Genomic DNA, 15,198 nt, shown 5'->3' with positions numbered 1-15,198 from the left:
ACCAGGATTGCATCAGTGTGAGTAATGTGCAACTGCACATGTGCACCAGGATTGCATCAGTGTGGCTGATGTGCAACCGCACATGTGCACCAGGATTGCATCAGTGTGAGTAATGTGCAACCACACATGTGCACCAGGATTGCATCAGTGTAATGTGCAACCGCACATGTGCACCAGGACTGCATCAGTGTGAGTAATGTGCAACTGCACATGTGCACCAGGATTGCATCAGTGTGGCTGATGTGCAACCGCACATGTGCACCAGGATTGCATTAGTGTTGAGTAATGTGCAACCACACATGTGCACCAGGATTGCATCAGTGTGGCTGATGTGCAACCGCACATGTACGCCAGGATTGCATCAGTGTGAGTAATGTGCAACTGCACATGTGCACCAGGATTGCATCAGTGTGACTGATGTGCAACCGCACATGTGCACCAGGATTGCATCAGTGTAATGTGCAACTGCACATGTGCACCAGGACTGCATCAGTGTGAGTAATGTGCAACTGCACATGTGCACCAGGATTGCCTCAGTGTGGCTGATGTGCAGCCGCACATGTGCACCAGGATTGCATCAGTGTGGCTGATGTGAAACCGCACATGTGCACCAGGATTGCATCAGTGTGAGTAATGTGCAACCACACATGTGCACCAGGATTGCATCAGTGTGGCTGATGTGCAACCGCACATGTACGCCAGGATTGCAACAGTGTGAGTAATGTGCAACCGCACATGTGCACCAGGATTGCATCAGTGTGAGTAATGTGCAACTGCACATGTGCACCAGGATTGCATCAGTGTGGCTGATGTGCAACCGCACATGTACGCCAGGATTGCATCAGTGTGAGTAATGTGCAACCACACGTGCACCAGGATTGCATCAGTGTAATGTGCAACCGCACATGTGCACCAGGACTGCATCAGTGTGAGTAATGTGCAACTGCACATGTGCACCAGGATTGCATCAGTGTGAGTAATGTGCAACCACACATGTGCACCAGGATTGCATCAGTGTGGCTGATGTGCAACTGCACATGTACGCCAGGATTGCATCAGTGTGAGTAATGTGCAACTGCACATGTGCACCAGGATTGCATCAGTGTGAGTAATGTGCAACTGCACATGTGCACCAGGATTGCATCAGTGTGGCTGATGTGCAACCGCACATGTACACTAGGAGTAAGAAATAACTCACAGATTGTGTTTTGTATTCTAAGCTAAATTAGAGTCATCTTGCCTTCAGGATTTGGATCTTTTCTCGTTTCCTTGAGTATTTTAAATATTTTCTTCTTTTTGAGTAGGACGGTTAAAACAATTATAAAATTTCCTACTTGAGCTCAGGTCCCTTAGTTGGGTGGGAAATGAGAGGAAACACTGTTCTCTTTTACAGAACATATCCCATGTGAAGCTTTTCTGACCCCTGATGCGAACTTTGAGGCAGGAATTGTATTATGACCTTGAACCTTCTATTGCTTTACACTGAGAGAGATTCGAGGATGCGGCCCCTCCCCTTCCGGTCTGAGCAGCACTTCCCTTTCCCGTTGCCTAATCAGCTGGCATTTTAACCCACTGCATCCACAGAGACACATATGCATGGAAGAGAAATTACTCCAATAATTTCACTCATACTTTCCAGGCACTGGCCTGGAAAAGTCCAGTTGAAAAAAGCGTGGGTAAAAATATCTCTACCATTGTGCAGAAGTCAGACATTTTGGTGGTATGAAAATGCACTAAAAAAGAAAACGATTCCACCTTCCTTTGCCTTGCTGTTGTACGAATCCCATGATTTCACTACTTAAATTACATTGCAAGGAGAAGAAAAAGCGTGGCCCAAAGAATTTCTTTTGTCTTCAGACATGTGTTAGTTGCTCTGTAAAGTCCCCCTCAGACAAAATTAATTGCACATTCCTCAGCATTCACAAAGCATTCTGTTCCTTCCTTGATTATGTGGCTTATTGCCTCTGTTGTACAATGGTGTCATTCATCCTTACACTATTAGACTAGTCCAGGGTTTCATACAGAGTAATGACTCAACATAGGTATACTGAATAAAGAAAAGAGTTGAAGGAAAAAGGAAAGTTTTACTCTGATCTTCTGAGGGAAGGAGAGAGCTTAGATGATTTTAATCTCCTAAGAAACAATTGAATGTCTAAAATCAGACATTCAATATGGAGGAATGATCTTTATTTCCTCACTCTTCATTCTTAAAGAAAGGCTCAAATTACTGTTTAGGTAACGTTTCTGTATTCCAAGAGAGGGGTACTTTCTTTTTAAAACTTGGCATTTCTTTTTTGGTTTGCAGTAAAACACGCTGTTGGATTTTAGGGGGCTGGTTCAAATGAGGAAAGTGGTTTCTTTTGACTAACCCAGTTTCCTGACCTTGTGGTTGTTTATTCCAGACACCAAATCAGAGACTTAAATTTCTAGGTTATCATAGGGATTGTAAGAGAAAGAGATATTTGGGTATCAAAAAGAACACAAAAATAAAATTTCAATTGTATTCCAAAACATTTCATGATGGAAGATTTTGTGAAACAGCAATTTAAATCTAGTCATATACCAATACTGAACAAAGACAGGACAAGGAAAGAAATTATATACTATTGTCATTTATGAACATGTCTGAAAAAAAATTTTTTTTAATTTTAAAAAAGAATTTTTAAAAATTCTTTTAAAAATATAAATAAATTGGGATGGCACAGTGGCTCCCCCCTGTAATCCCAGCACTTTGGGAGGCTGAGGTGGGTGGATTAAGGAGTTCGTGACCAGCCTGGCCAACACAGTGAAACCCCGTCTCTACAAAAACACAAAAATCAGCTGGGCGTGGTGGCCTGTGCCTGTAGTCCCAGCTACTTGGGAGGCTGAGGCAGGAGAATCGCTTAACCCGGGAGATGGAGGCTGCAGTGACCCAAGATCGTGCCATTGCCCTCCAGCCTGAATGACAGAGTGAGACTGTGTCTCAAAAAAAAAAAAAAAAAAAAAAAAAAAATTCAAACTAATCAGTGCCTAAATAGACAAAACATTGTGACTGGGTAGGGTTTATTCTAGTAATGTTACATATGATTCAAATCAGGTCCCCTATTAATATTTACCACATTATGAATAGAAAGAGTAAAATCATATGCTAACTTTATTAAAGGCATACTAAGCAATGAATAAAACTCAATATTCACAATAAAATTTTAGCAAAAGAGGAAAAAAGTGTTTGTCTAAATCCATAGCAAACATCACACTTAAGGGTAAAACATTCCTGCTAATGCCAAAAAGAAGATAAGGACGCCAATGTCTAAACAATATTGTATAGGAAGACTTACCCAAAGCAATAAGACATGAAAAAGATAATAAAGGGTAGAAGAACTGTAAAAGATGACAAAAAAGCTTCCTCATTTTCAGACATCATTGTCTACACAGAAATCCAAGAGATCTATGAACCACTCTTAGAACAGGAAAGTTGAGAAAGTTTGTTACAGTATTGACATATAAAAATCAAAAGCATTGCTAGATGAGGATAATATCCAATTTAAACAATAGAGAAAATGTTCTAGTCCAAATAACATCAAAAGCTGTAAGTATCTAGGAATAAAGTTTTAAAAGTTACATGTATTTAAAAAAACATAAAAGTTACATGTATGAATCTGATGGAGAAATTAGAAAATATTAAAGGAAATTTTAAAAGCTTGCTTGAAGACATGTTTATGGATGGGATGACAGTAATGTAAAGATGTCAATTCTGTTGAAATTAATCTATAAAATTTAATGCAATTTCAATAAAAATCCCAATAGAGTAGTTCAAAGAAATGACAAATTAAAAAAAAAATTCCTTGACAGGGCAGAGTCAAGAAAATCTAAGCCAGTGTTGAAGAAGAGCAATGTATGTGGGCTTGATCATCAGAGGAGTGTGGTATGGGACAAGAATGGGTGGGCCAGTGAAAGAGAACACAGACCCACACATCCGTGTAAGTCTTGTTATTTTTATTTTTATTTTTTGAGACGGAGTCTCGCTTTGTCGCCGAGGCTGAAGTGCAGTGGCAACATTTTGGCTCACTGCAGCCTCTGCCTCCCGGGCTCAAGCAATTCTCCTGCCTCAGCCTCCTGAGTAGCTGGGATTACAGGCACTCGCCACCACGCCTGGCTAATTTTTGTACTTTTGATAGAGACAGGGTTTCACTGTATTAGCCAGGCGGGTCTCAAGCTCCTAACCTCAGGTGATCCACCTGCCTTGGCCTCCCAATGTGCGGGGATTACAGACGTGAGCCACTGCACCCAGCCGAGAGAAGTACTTTTCAAATCAGTGGCTAGCCATATGAAAATAAGAGTTTAGATCTCCTTACTATACACCATGCCTCCATCAATGTTAGGCACATTAAGGACAAATGTGAAAGACAAAATTTTAAGACTTTTAGAAAAAAATAGAGTATATTTATGACCTGAGATTGAAAGGACTTTTTAAAAAAACACAACACAAAACCTACGCACTATAAAAAGTATACTTAGTCAAACTTACACGTTATACAATTTATTTTCAAATAAACCATAATTAAAGTTAAAAGGCATGTCTCACGGTAGGAGATATTTACATCTCACATAATCTGCAAAGATCACTGGCCAGAATTCATCAAGAACTCCTATACAACAATAAGAAAAAGAAATATCCTAATAGAATGGGCAATGGATATGAGCCAGAAAACTGCAGAGGAAATCAAAATGGCCAATAAGAAAAGATGCTCAATCTTAACGCAATTGGCAAAATACAGAGATAGATCATCACCAATGGATAATATACACAGCAGTTAAATGAACTAGAGCTATAAATCCCAAAAACAATGTTGAGTGAAAATAACCTGTAAGCTGACACCATGTATGCCATGTTTGAAATAGGTGAAAGCATATGACTTATTTTTTGAGACAGGGTCTCACTCTGTTGCCCAGGCTGGAGAGCAGTGGTGCCATCATAGCTCACTGCAGTCTCAAACTCCTGGGCTCAAGCGATCCTCCTGTCTCAGTCTCTTGTGCAGTAGGACCACAGGCATGTGCCATCATGTCCTGCTAATTTTTTGATTTTTTGTAGAGATGGGATTTCGCCACGTTGCCCAGGCTGGTCTCAAACTCCTTGGCTCAAGCAGTCCTCCCACCTGGGCCTCCCACAGCATGTTACACATTTTAAATAAATACTTGTATATATAGTAATGGCAACAAAACCATGCTTGGGAAAGAAACAACAAGTTTTGGATGGCAGTTCCAGCACAGTTGTGTACTAAGCCAGGTTACACTGGCTTCCCTGAGCCAATTCTGCACATCTCTTCTTAATTCCATGTTCAGTGATGTTGTGTTAGTAACTTGAAATCTGCTGTGATGGGAGTGTTTATACCACAGAAATCAAAAAACATTATAAATTCCAGATCCTCCCTCCCCTTTCCCCATGCTGGAGAACTGGTTTACCAACACATCAGGGTGCCATTCTCCACAGAGCAGAATGTGACTGGGGAAGGGTATATAACTGGATTCAATATTGTTTATAATATCTTTATGCTTCAAACAAATGTTAAAGCAAATAAGACACAAAGAAAGGAGTAATATGACAAACTCCCATGAGCCACGCCTGACTCTTTGACAGAATGTCTTTCTGTGGTTTTCTGTATTTTGGAAATCTTTACTGAAAAAAGAAACCTAGTCAGTTGAATTTTTCAGGCCAGCATAATACCATTTCTTTATGCCCTCTTTAATTTTAGATTTAAGTCTTGCCTAGTTGGCCACAATACATTATTTTGAAAAACTTGGACCTGAACTAATAGGAGCTGAAAGTTATTATTTCAAGCCCCAACCACAGATTTGCCAGATAGGTGTATCTTTGAAATCGATACACCTATTGATTTGTTGAACCCGGGAGGCGGAGGTTGCAATGAGCCGAGACTGCGCCACTGCACTCCAGCCTGGGCGACACAGTGAAACTCTGCCTCAAAAGAAAAAAGAAAAAAGAAAAGAACAGAGATGTGATTCAGGAATGTAAATCTCAGTCATCTAACTTCTGCAGACGGGGGTCCACTGCAAAGATCTCTTCTTGCCAACTCGTTCGTTCGTTCATTCATTCATTCATTCATTCATTCAAGATGGAGTCTCACTCTGTTGCCCAGGCTGGAGTGCAGTGGCGCGATCTCGGCTCACTGCAACCTCCACCTCCCGGGTTCAAGTGATTCTCCTGCCTCAGCCTCCCAAGTAGCTGGGATTACAGGCATGTGCCACAACACCCAGCTAATTTTATTTGTATTTTTTAGTAGAGATAGGGTCTTGCCATGCTGGCCAGGCTGGTCTTGAACTCCTGACCTCAAGTGATCCACCCACTTCGGCCTCCCAAAGTGCTGGGATTACAGGTGTAAGCTACCATGCCCACCCTCATTCTTATTTTTCTTTAAATTAGGAGACACGTAAAGATTTAAACTCTAGCGATTAAGAGCCCCTCCTGGAGTAAGCCACAACTTCATGAACCAGAGAAGCAGGGCTCCACTCTGGCAGGAGGGCACGTGGCTGAATGCCTGGGGTTTGGAGTCAGAGAGGCTGAGATAATGCATATGAAATGAAAATGTATCTAAAGCTCTACGGCCTCTGGCATGGAGCAAGCACTCTATAAATATGCCCTACCATCAACTCACAGCCAAACCACAGAAGACCTAGGCCAGGGGCCTCCCAGGATCTAGCCCTCTTGCCTCTTTCTGGGTTACAGGACCATTAGTGGACTCTGGAAGGAGAAACTGTGCAGGGGCTCACAGGATTTTATCATCAGCGATTGCACAATGAGGGCTGGCTTTCACACCAGCACATTACTAATGAACATGTAGACTCTGGATTCTCTAATTCAGTTTCTATGCCCTTTCTCTATTTTCTTTTTCTTTCATTTTATCTAGACTGTGTATCTCAACCATGGCTGCACATTCCAAACACCTGAAGACCTTTGAAAAATTCTGATGTTCTGGCCCCACCTCGACCAACGAGTCAGAATTTCTGAAGGTAGGATCCAGCTTCCCAGGTGATTCCAGTGGGTAGCCCAGGTTGAGAAATACTGATGCAAAATACACAAACTGTTTTTCAAAGTCTGAGTCAAATGAAAAAAGTTCTGTTGTAACACTGACACTTCCTACATCCTAGGCTTTCAGAATTAAAGGATAAGCTATTTCAAGTCAAGGAACATTTCTCCCAGAGGTCAGGCTTGTGCTAGGTGTTGGGATTCAAGGATGGCAAAGGATATGTGAATCCTGCCCTCAAGGAGCTCACATTTACCAATTTTAGTAAGCCAAGATGGGTAGGACTGAGTTTGCATTTATAGCTGAGTCACAAAATGACAGGGCATTGCAGAATTTTATAATGGGATTTCACTATCGCAAAATCAAGAGCATCGTAGGCTTATATTTTGGTACTTCCTCTGTGCCGGCACTTTAGGTTTATCAGTTCACGGGAGCTTCACTGTAACCATATGAGGGAGATTTTCCTATTATTTCCATTCTTTCCTTCAATACAAGTTTGGATGCCTCCTATGGGCCTGACACCATTTTAGACATATAGACAATAACAAAACAGACTCCTGTCCTTGTGGAGCAAATGTTTTGTGAGTCAGGGTGGAGAGGAAAGGAACAACAGGCATAATATAAAAGTCGATCATATAGTATGTTAAAAATTGACGAGTGCCATGAGAAAAAGGAAAAGTGGAGGAGGTAAGGTATGTGTGGATACTCAGGGAGCCTCAGCGAGAAGAAGGATTTGAGTAAAGACTTGACATACAGGGGTTAGTTAGTTTCATTCCATTTAAAGATTCACTCAACACATACAGGGGGCTTTGCTGGGATGCAAACTCATGTATGTTGAACAGCAGCTTCTGTGCTGTTAACCAGTCTACGAACTTATGTTTTTCTTTTTCTTTTTTCTTTCTTTTTTTTTTTTTTTTTTTGAGATGGAGTCTTGCTCTGTCACCCTGGCTGGACAGATTGCAGTGGTGCAGTCTTGGCTCACTCAACTTCCACCTCCTGGGTTCGAGCAATTCTCCTGTCTCAGCCTCCTGGGTAGCTGGGGTTACAGGTGTGCACCACCATACCTGGCTAATTTTTGTATTTTTAGTAGAGATGGGGTTTCACCATATTGGCCAGGCTGGTCTCGAACTCCTAACCTCAAGTGATCTGTCCACCTCGGCCTACCAAAGTGCTGGGATTACAGGTGTGAGCCACCATGTCTGGCCCTAACTTTACTTTCAAGAAGTATTAATATAATAACTTATTCATTCACTCTCTGTCTTGTTTACTATTTTAATTTTCTAGCCCAGTGTCTGCTACATACTTACATTTTTAATTAAACTGATTATTTAAAATTATCAATTCAATTGAATTAATATGTTATGACTTGAAGTATGTATTGTGTGTTTACTGTGTCCAGCCCACTCCCCAGGTAGAAGAAAAGTTATAGAAAATTCAGTGTAGCTGGGGATCCTGGAGACTAAGCAAGTACATATTCTTGGATGTCATGTTCATGTCATATTGTGGAAGAAAAGATGTCATTGCCCCACCAGGGCAAATAGGTTTCTTCTCTGAGCCAGGAGGATGGAGAGAGAGAGAATATGGAATACATGTGAGACTCATAAGGAAATAAGGATACTTCCAAGCAGAAAGCTTCTTGGCACAACAGCCCACAAAAATATATGAAGCTGAGTCAGGGGTTACAGGTAAAGTTTCTTAGGCTGCATTCATTTGAGAAATTTTCATAATGCTCGTATGTGAGAACAATCTTTTGAATATTAACTTACCTATTGAAGTGGTAGATATCCTGTATGTTTCCAAAAAGGGCTGATCTTTCTTCGGTCCCCAGGGGAAGTTTTGTTTGGTCCCTGATGCAGTCAAGGTAATCCTGTGAGATCAATGAGAAGGATGCCTTAAACACTCCTGTCCTTTCCAAGTCATCTTTAATTATGCCCAGTGCATCTTTCATATCTGTTTCAAGTAATTATTTTACTAGTGTGCTCATTAACTCTGAGAGTACACAGTTGCTCTCTTATTACTGGCCCTAATACTCACCTATTTATAGAACGAAGAGTTTTAGGAAAGAGAAAGAGTGTGGTATACATTCTGTCTACTCCCTAAATATATTAGAGCTTCCCCAGATGGGGCTACAATGACCATAGTGCCAATAACGTCAGTTTTGGTATAACCACATCGTCTGCTTTTTCTTTGACTGATTTGTATGATTAAAACATACTCTAAAATTCATATAGTGAAAAACCAGAAATAAAAATTCTGAACTGACAGAATTTGTTTTAAACATAACCTTAAGTCACAAAACTATCTGTTGTTAAAACTATAGAACCAAATTCTTTTTCAAATACCAACTTATTTTTTTAAGTGAAAAAAATAAGCATATAACTTACTATGCTGTGTTAATTAGCCACAGAAAACTCTCAATTGATTTTGTATGTTTTAACATAGAAACAGCTCCCAAACAGATCTGCTGTGGATTGAGACCCATAGTGGGTTAAACTGACATAGCTTAGAAGTTATTTGAACTGTTGAGAAAGAGGAAAGCTGCTTTCTGCCCCTTGTGTGCTAAAGAGTTCATAACTGAGTGTTCCCCTTTCCCTAGCAAGACTTGAAAAAGGATTCTGTAGGAGGCAGGAAAACAATACAGAAAAAAGTGAAAACAGCTGAAATAACGTAAAATAAAAAGTAAATACAGTCCTTGCCCTAGGCTGAACAATGAAGTGTGGCTCCCTCCCAAACGTAACATGGCGATCTGCAGCATTTAGAGGAAGTAACCCTGTGAAAAGCCAAGCAGACCATGAAAATCCCAGCACCGCAGCCGCATTCCAATGTCCAACAGCAAACACTGTCGTGTTTAGATGCAGCTAGAGAAAGGAGAAGCTGAAATGTAAGATCCATTAGATAATTGTTTCTTACGCCTTTTATTAATCCACCTTCATTCTCTCATGTTCTTTAGGTTCCTCCAATGCAAAATAGGCAAGGCTTTCATCATTAACTTTCTCAAGTGGCACATTTCACAGTTTGCATCAAATTAGGTTTCGTTCTAGTGCTTTCATACTAAAATCATTGTCATGCATAAACCAATGTACATAAACCTTTTTTCAAAACAAGCTTTGTGGTAACAACTTTTCTTCTTAAGAAAGTAGTCACCTCGGTAAGAAACTAGATTCAAAAGATTTAAAAGTAGTTGGCATTAAAATCCCCAAATAGCTTGGCCTATTCTCCTTACTGTTATAAATGGAACAATCATAAGAGCTTGAGTACCTGCATAGGACAGACAGGCCCAAAAAAGGCCCAAAAAAGAAAAACAAATGGAGGCCAGAATTGAAAGAATGGTACATTTTGAACAACACATAAAACCTACACTCCCTCAAAATAAAGAAATATATTCATTGATATTTCTGTTAAATTACACATGGTCCAAAAGGATGGACTAATACTCAATGTGCAGTGAATGTCTGTATTTAATAGCAGCTTAAGACTTTGCTGGACATTTTGGAGGGCATATTGTACACAAAATTAAGAAGGTAAAACAGAAGGATGTGGATGGGCATGAGCCACACACAGCATGGCAGGATGAGGGGCGGGGCAGGGGTGGAGGGTGCAAGCCACATTCACCTGGCTGAATTCAGAGGCTCTGCAGTGGGGCTTAAAGAGAGAATGAACAATCCTTTCTCTCACTTCAAGAGCGAAGCTTGCTCATTTGCAGAAACCTGATACTAAATTCTTCATGTGAGAGAAAGGTTGAGTTAAGGGGCTTAAAGAATTTCATCTGGGGTTACAGACAAAGAACCATGGCCAGCATCCAACAACTGATGGCCCATCGCCAGCTCAAAGAGTTTCAAAAACCTCAGAGTCCATGGCAGAGAAACTAAATTTTAAAAGTTGCTTGTTTTCAGAAATTATTGAGAAAACAGATCGTGAGGAGTCCACATTTTTGTAGACCACTCTAGAAAACAGATCAAAGTTGTATGGTCATAACTTGTTCCCCCCCACTGATCATAAGTACATCTTTTAAATCTAATACTTTAACCCTAGACTAGCTCCTGAAAACTAAGGCAGCATGCCCTGCATTCACAGCTGTAATCATCTGTAGCCAAATGAGTGGTTTGAAGCTCAGTGATAATAACAGTTCATTCTGCGCCCGAAATGACAGTGTAAGGACACCAACGAAATTTATTAGAGCCTGTCATGCTGCTTATTAATTTTATTGGCTTGATGTCAGCACCTATGGTTACCCTGCTGTTAACAACTATGAAGGATCAATTTAAAACTTTTGCACTGAAAACAATTATTCTCCAAGAGGATCAAAGAATTTACCCTAGTTTGGTGAGGGAAGGAGCAGAGAGTACACACAAAAAAGGGCTTTTCACCATTTGAATGATGTTCTGTGATTTAAAATTTCTCCTATTTACTTTCTAATCAGTTTATGTCCTTAAGATCTCTACCATTATAAGATTTGCACACGAGCAGCCTCCTCTAATTAACTTTTTCATTCCTTGTAATATGTGTTATTGAAAATATCCAAGTAGATATCCAAGTAGATCTGACTTGGTCCTATTCAAAGTATGGGAAGTGGGCAGGAGCCAATTTGCAAACTGTTTGCTGCTGATCTACAAGGAGATAAGTACAGACATCAAGTAAGCATGCAGAAACTAGTTTACAGAATGATTTAATATCAATCTAATAATAAATTTGTGCTTGTACTTTGTACATCTTATTCTTCTTCTAACTTTTCTAGTATTCTTTTTTAAATTGTATTTTACAAAAGAATCGGTGTGTGATAGATGGAAAGAAAACACACACACTTGCCCCTCACCATGGATAGTTTGAGAAGCTCTGATCTACATAACCATCCAGCAGGGACATGCTATAGAAAGAAGAACTGAGACTGAAGGCAAATTCAGCGCCCTTCAGAGCTTACCTTATTTCTATGAGATGCCCGGAAATAGGTTAGTTAATAGCTCCTGCACTTCCCTTCTTCTTCTGATATCACATTAAATTTTTTTTTTTCTTTGAGACAGAGTCTCACTCTGTCACCCAAGCTGGAGTGCAGTGGCACAATCTCGGCTCACTACGACCTCCACCTCCCAAGTTCAAGCGATTCTCCTGACTCAGCCCCCTCGAGTAGCTGAGATTGCAGGCACGTGCCATCATGCCTGGGTAATTTTTGTATTTTTAGCAGAGACGGGGTTTCACCATGTTGGCTAGGCTGGTCTCAAACTCCTGACCTCAGGTGATCCACTTGCCTTGGCCTCCCAAAATGCTGGGATTACAGATGTAAGCCACTGCACCTGGCCCTGAGAAATAATCTTTTTTCATTTCTCCAATCCCTCTACCCTTTCTAGAAAGTAGTCTGTTTACCCAAAAATTTGCCTTTCAAATTTCATGTATTACGTTGGGATGCCTCTGAAACTAGAATAACTTACATGTGTATAGTAATTTACAGTTTAAAAGCACATTAACATTCATTTATACAAGCCTTCCTCCCATCTTTTTATTTTGAGGATGTAATAATGTGTGCCAAGTGCTGTTTTACAGGATAAGAATTAAAAAAAAATGCATAAAACATGATCCCTTCCCCCAGCAAGCTCCCGGTATAGTTGAAGAGCCAAGTGTAAACAAATAAATAGAATAGTGTTTTGGCAGCAAGACTGATAGAGATTCAGTTCACAAGAGAGGGCAGGAAAGGCGGAAGTGGTCCGTTCCAGGGAGGGGAGAGGCTTCACAGGGAAGGTGAGGGTGGAGCTGAATCTTGAAGGATGGAGTTTCAACACAGCGAAAGGAGGAAGAAGACAACATCTAGGAGGCCAGAAATGGGTAAACAAAGGCACAGGGTAACAAAAAGGACACTAAAAGGAGTTGAAAAGGGCTAGATTTCAGGCCAGCCAGATGTCAGGGTTGAGACCAGCTGGACAGAGCAGGGCGTGCGCCTAAACACACAGACCCTTGAGGGTGGGGCTGCACTGCTAGATGAGGCTAAATGGGGGCCGGGACAGGTCATGCAGAATCTTCCACGCTACATAGCTGGTGGTAACCACTGAAGCGTGTGGTGAGATTAAAGATGGTTCCATCATCAATAAAGAAAACAGGGCCGGGTGCAGTGGCTCATGCCTGTAATCCCAATACTTTGGGAGGCAAACACAGGTGGATCATCTAGGGTCAGGAGTTCAAGACCAGCCTGGGCAACGTGGTGAAACCCCATCTCTACTAAAAATACAAAATTTAGCGGGGCATGGTGGCAGGCACCTGTTAATCTCAGCTACTCGGGAGGCTGAGGCAGGAGAATCGCTTGAACCCGGGAGGCAAAGGTTGCAATGAGCTGAGATTGCACCACTGCACTCCAGCCTGGGCAACAAGAGCTAAACTCTGTCTTAAAAAAAAAAAGAAAAAGAAAAAGAAAATAGGAGAGAAGCTATAAAGCTGCTGGGGAGGCTGGTTAGGTGATGCATGCAGCAGACAGGTATGTGCAGACCAACTCCTAACCCTGAGTCAGGTGGAGAGGAGAGGTATTTAATGGGATGTGGAGAATAATAGAAAGCATGGAGTCCAGGGTGACAGCATGGTTGAAGTGACTGATCAGCCATGTGGGCTTTCAGTGGAAGGAAGTCTGGGGCTCCTCTCTCTTCGTCACTTCCCACCTTAAGGAGGAAGCTGCTGTTTCACCAGCTCCCAGGAAGGATGCTTTCTCATCCACTGTGGCATGAGTGAGTTAAAGTCAATGAGTACATGGGGACCCATCTGTCTCCTCTTCCTTTTGGCTGTAGCATGGAGACAGCTGGGCTGCTCCCTCTGCAGAGAAGGACCCATTGGCTTCTCTCCTCTGATTTTCCTTCCTAGGTGGCTGGTGAGGTAAAACCAAGCCAGGGCCAGCTCTAGCAGGCCCCATCTGCAGAGGCCTGGGCAGGGCTGTTCTGAGGTTTGGTACCCCCTGGACTGGACTTCTTCAAGCCAAGATGAAAGGTTGAAAGGCATCTCTGGGGGTTTGTGGTGACAGGAGACAGGCCTACTTTTGGCCTAGTTAATCCAGATCGTAGATTTCCATGTGCTCAGGCTGGCTCATTTTGTTCTTGCTAGGGCCCAAGCTCTAAGAAAAAACATGGGTTTGATTTTCCAGCCATTGTCCTTTGCACAAAGAGTGCCCTTACAGAACATTGTGACTGATAAGATATTGGTTAAGGCCCGGGCACGGTGGCTCACACCTGTAATCCCCACACTTTGGGAGGCTGAGGCAGGTGGATCACCTGAAGTCAGGAGTTCCAGAACAGCCTGGCCCAGCATGGTGAAACTCCATCTCTACTAAAAATACAAAAATATTAGCCAAGTGTGGTGGTGGGCAGCTGTAATCCCAGCTACTTGGGAGGCTGAGGCAGGGGAATTGCTTGAACCTGGGATGCGGAGGTTGCAGTGAGTTGAGATTGTGCCATTGCACTCCAGCCTGGGCAACAAGAACAAAACTCCGTCTCAAAAAAAAAAAAAAAAAAAAGAAGCTTTATCCCTCCTGTTGGTGCTCAAAGGAGAATGAGGGAGAACATGTAAAAGAAGTTCAGAGTTTGACCATTTAAGTGCTACAAGAATTATTTACAAAGTACTGTGAGAGTACAGAAGAACACACTGCAAATGAAAGAAGCCCTTTATCTTTCTTCCAAATAAGCCACTGAACAGGGTATAATAAAATGTCCTGCTGTAGCCTATAGATAAAAGTATCAGAAGTCCAATCTTAAGTGAATCTCTTTTCTCTTCTTTCTCTGTGAACACCTAGGGAGGAGGAAGTTACAGCCAAAGAAACAGGATCTGGGGAATGGTGGTCTCCGGCCACTGCATTAGGCTGGATACAAAAGCTCTTACTATGGAGATAGAGTTTTCCCTGGGTCCATACAGTCTAGACCCCACACCACAGAGAAATGTACTGAAAATCCAATGTAGAAGGAATGGGACACAATCTTTCTGGCAATAGCTTTGGGCAGGGGGAAGGAAGGAGAAGAAAGGGAAGAAAGAAAAAGAGAGGGTTGGGCCGGGCACAGTGGCTCATGCCTGTAATCCCAGTACTTTCTGAGGCCGAGGCAGGCAGGTTATCAGAGGTCAGCAGCTCGAAACCAGCCTGGCCAACATGGCGAAACCCCGTCTCTACTAAAAATACAAAAAAAAAAAAAATTAGCCGGGCTTGGTGGCGGGCACCTGTAAT

The 15,198-nt window shown here is 41.8% G+C and overlaps 1 protein-coding gene across 10 annotated transcripts in view; it reads right to left on the bottom strand.

Annotated features, from left to right (window-relative positions):
- PLEKHG1 (pleckstrin homology and RhoGEF domain containing G1) overlaps window positions 1-15,198 on the bottom strand; it is a 243,781-nt gene that overhangs the window by 66,142 nt on the left and 162,441 nt on the right. For all 10 annotated transcript variants that reach the window (NM_001329804.2, NM_001029884.3, NM_001329805.2 and 7 more), the window contains one exon: window positions 8,786-8,886. In NM_001329804.2, the coding sequence (NP_001316733.1) occupies window positions 8,786-8,886 (101 nt within the window). The remainder of the gene's footprint in view (window positions 1-8,785; window positions 8,887-15,198) is intronic.

Source organism: Homo sapiens, chromosome 6 (assembly GCF_000001405.40).
Source record: "Homo sapiens chromosome 6, GRCh38.p14 Primary Assembly".
NCBI lineage: Eukaryota > Metazoa > Chordata > Mammalia > Primates > Hominidae > Homo > Homo sapiens.
This window is presented reverse-complemented; position numbering and strand designations above follow the sequence as displayed.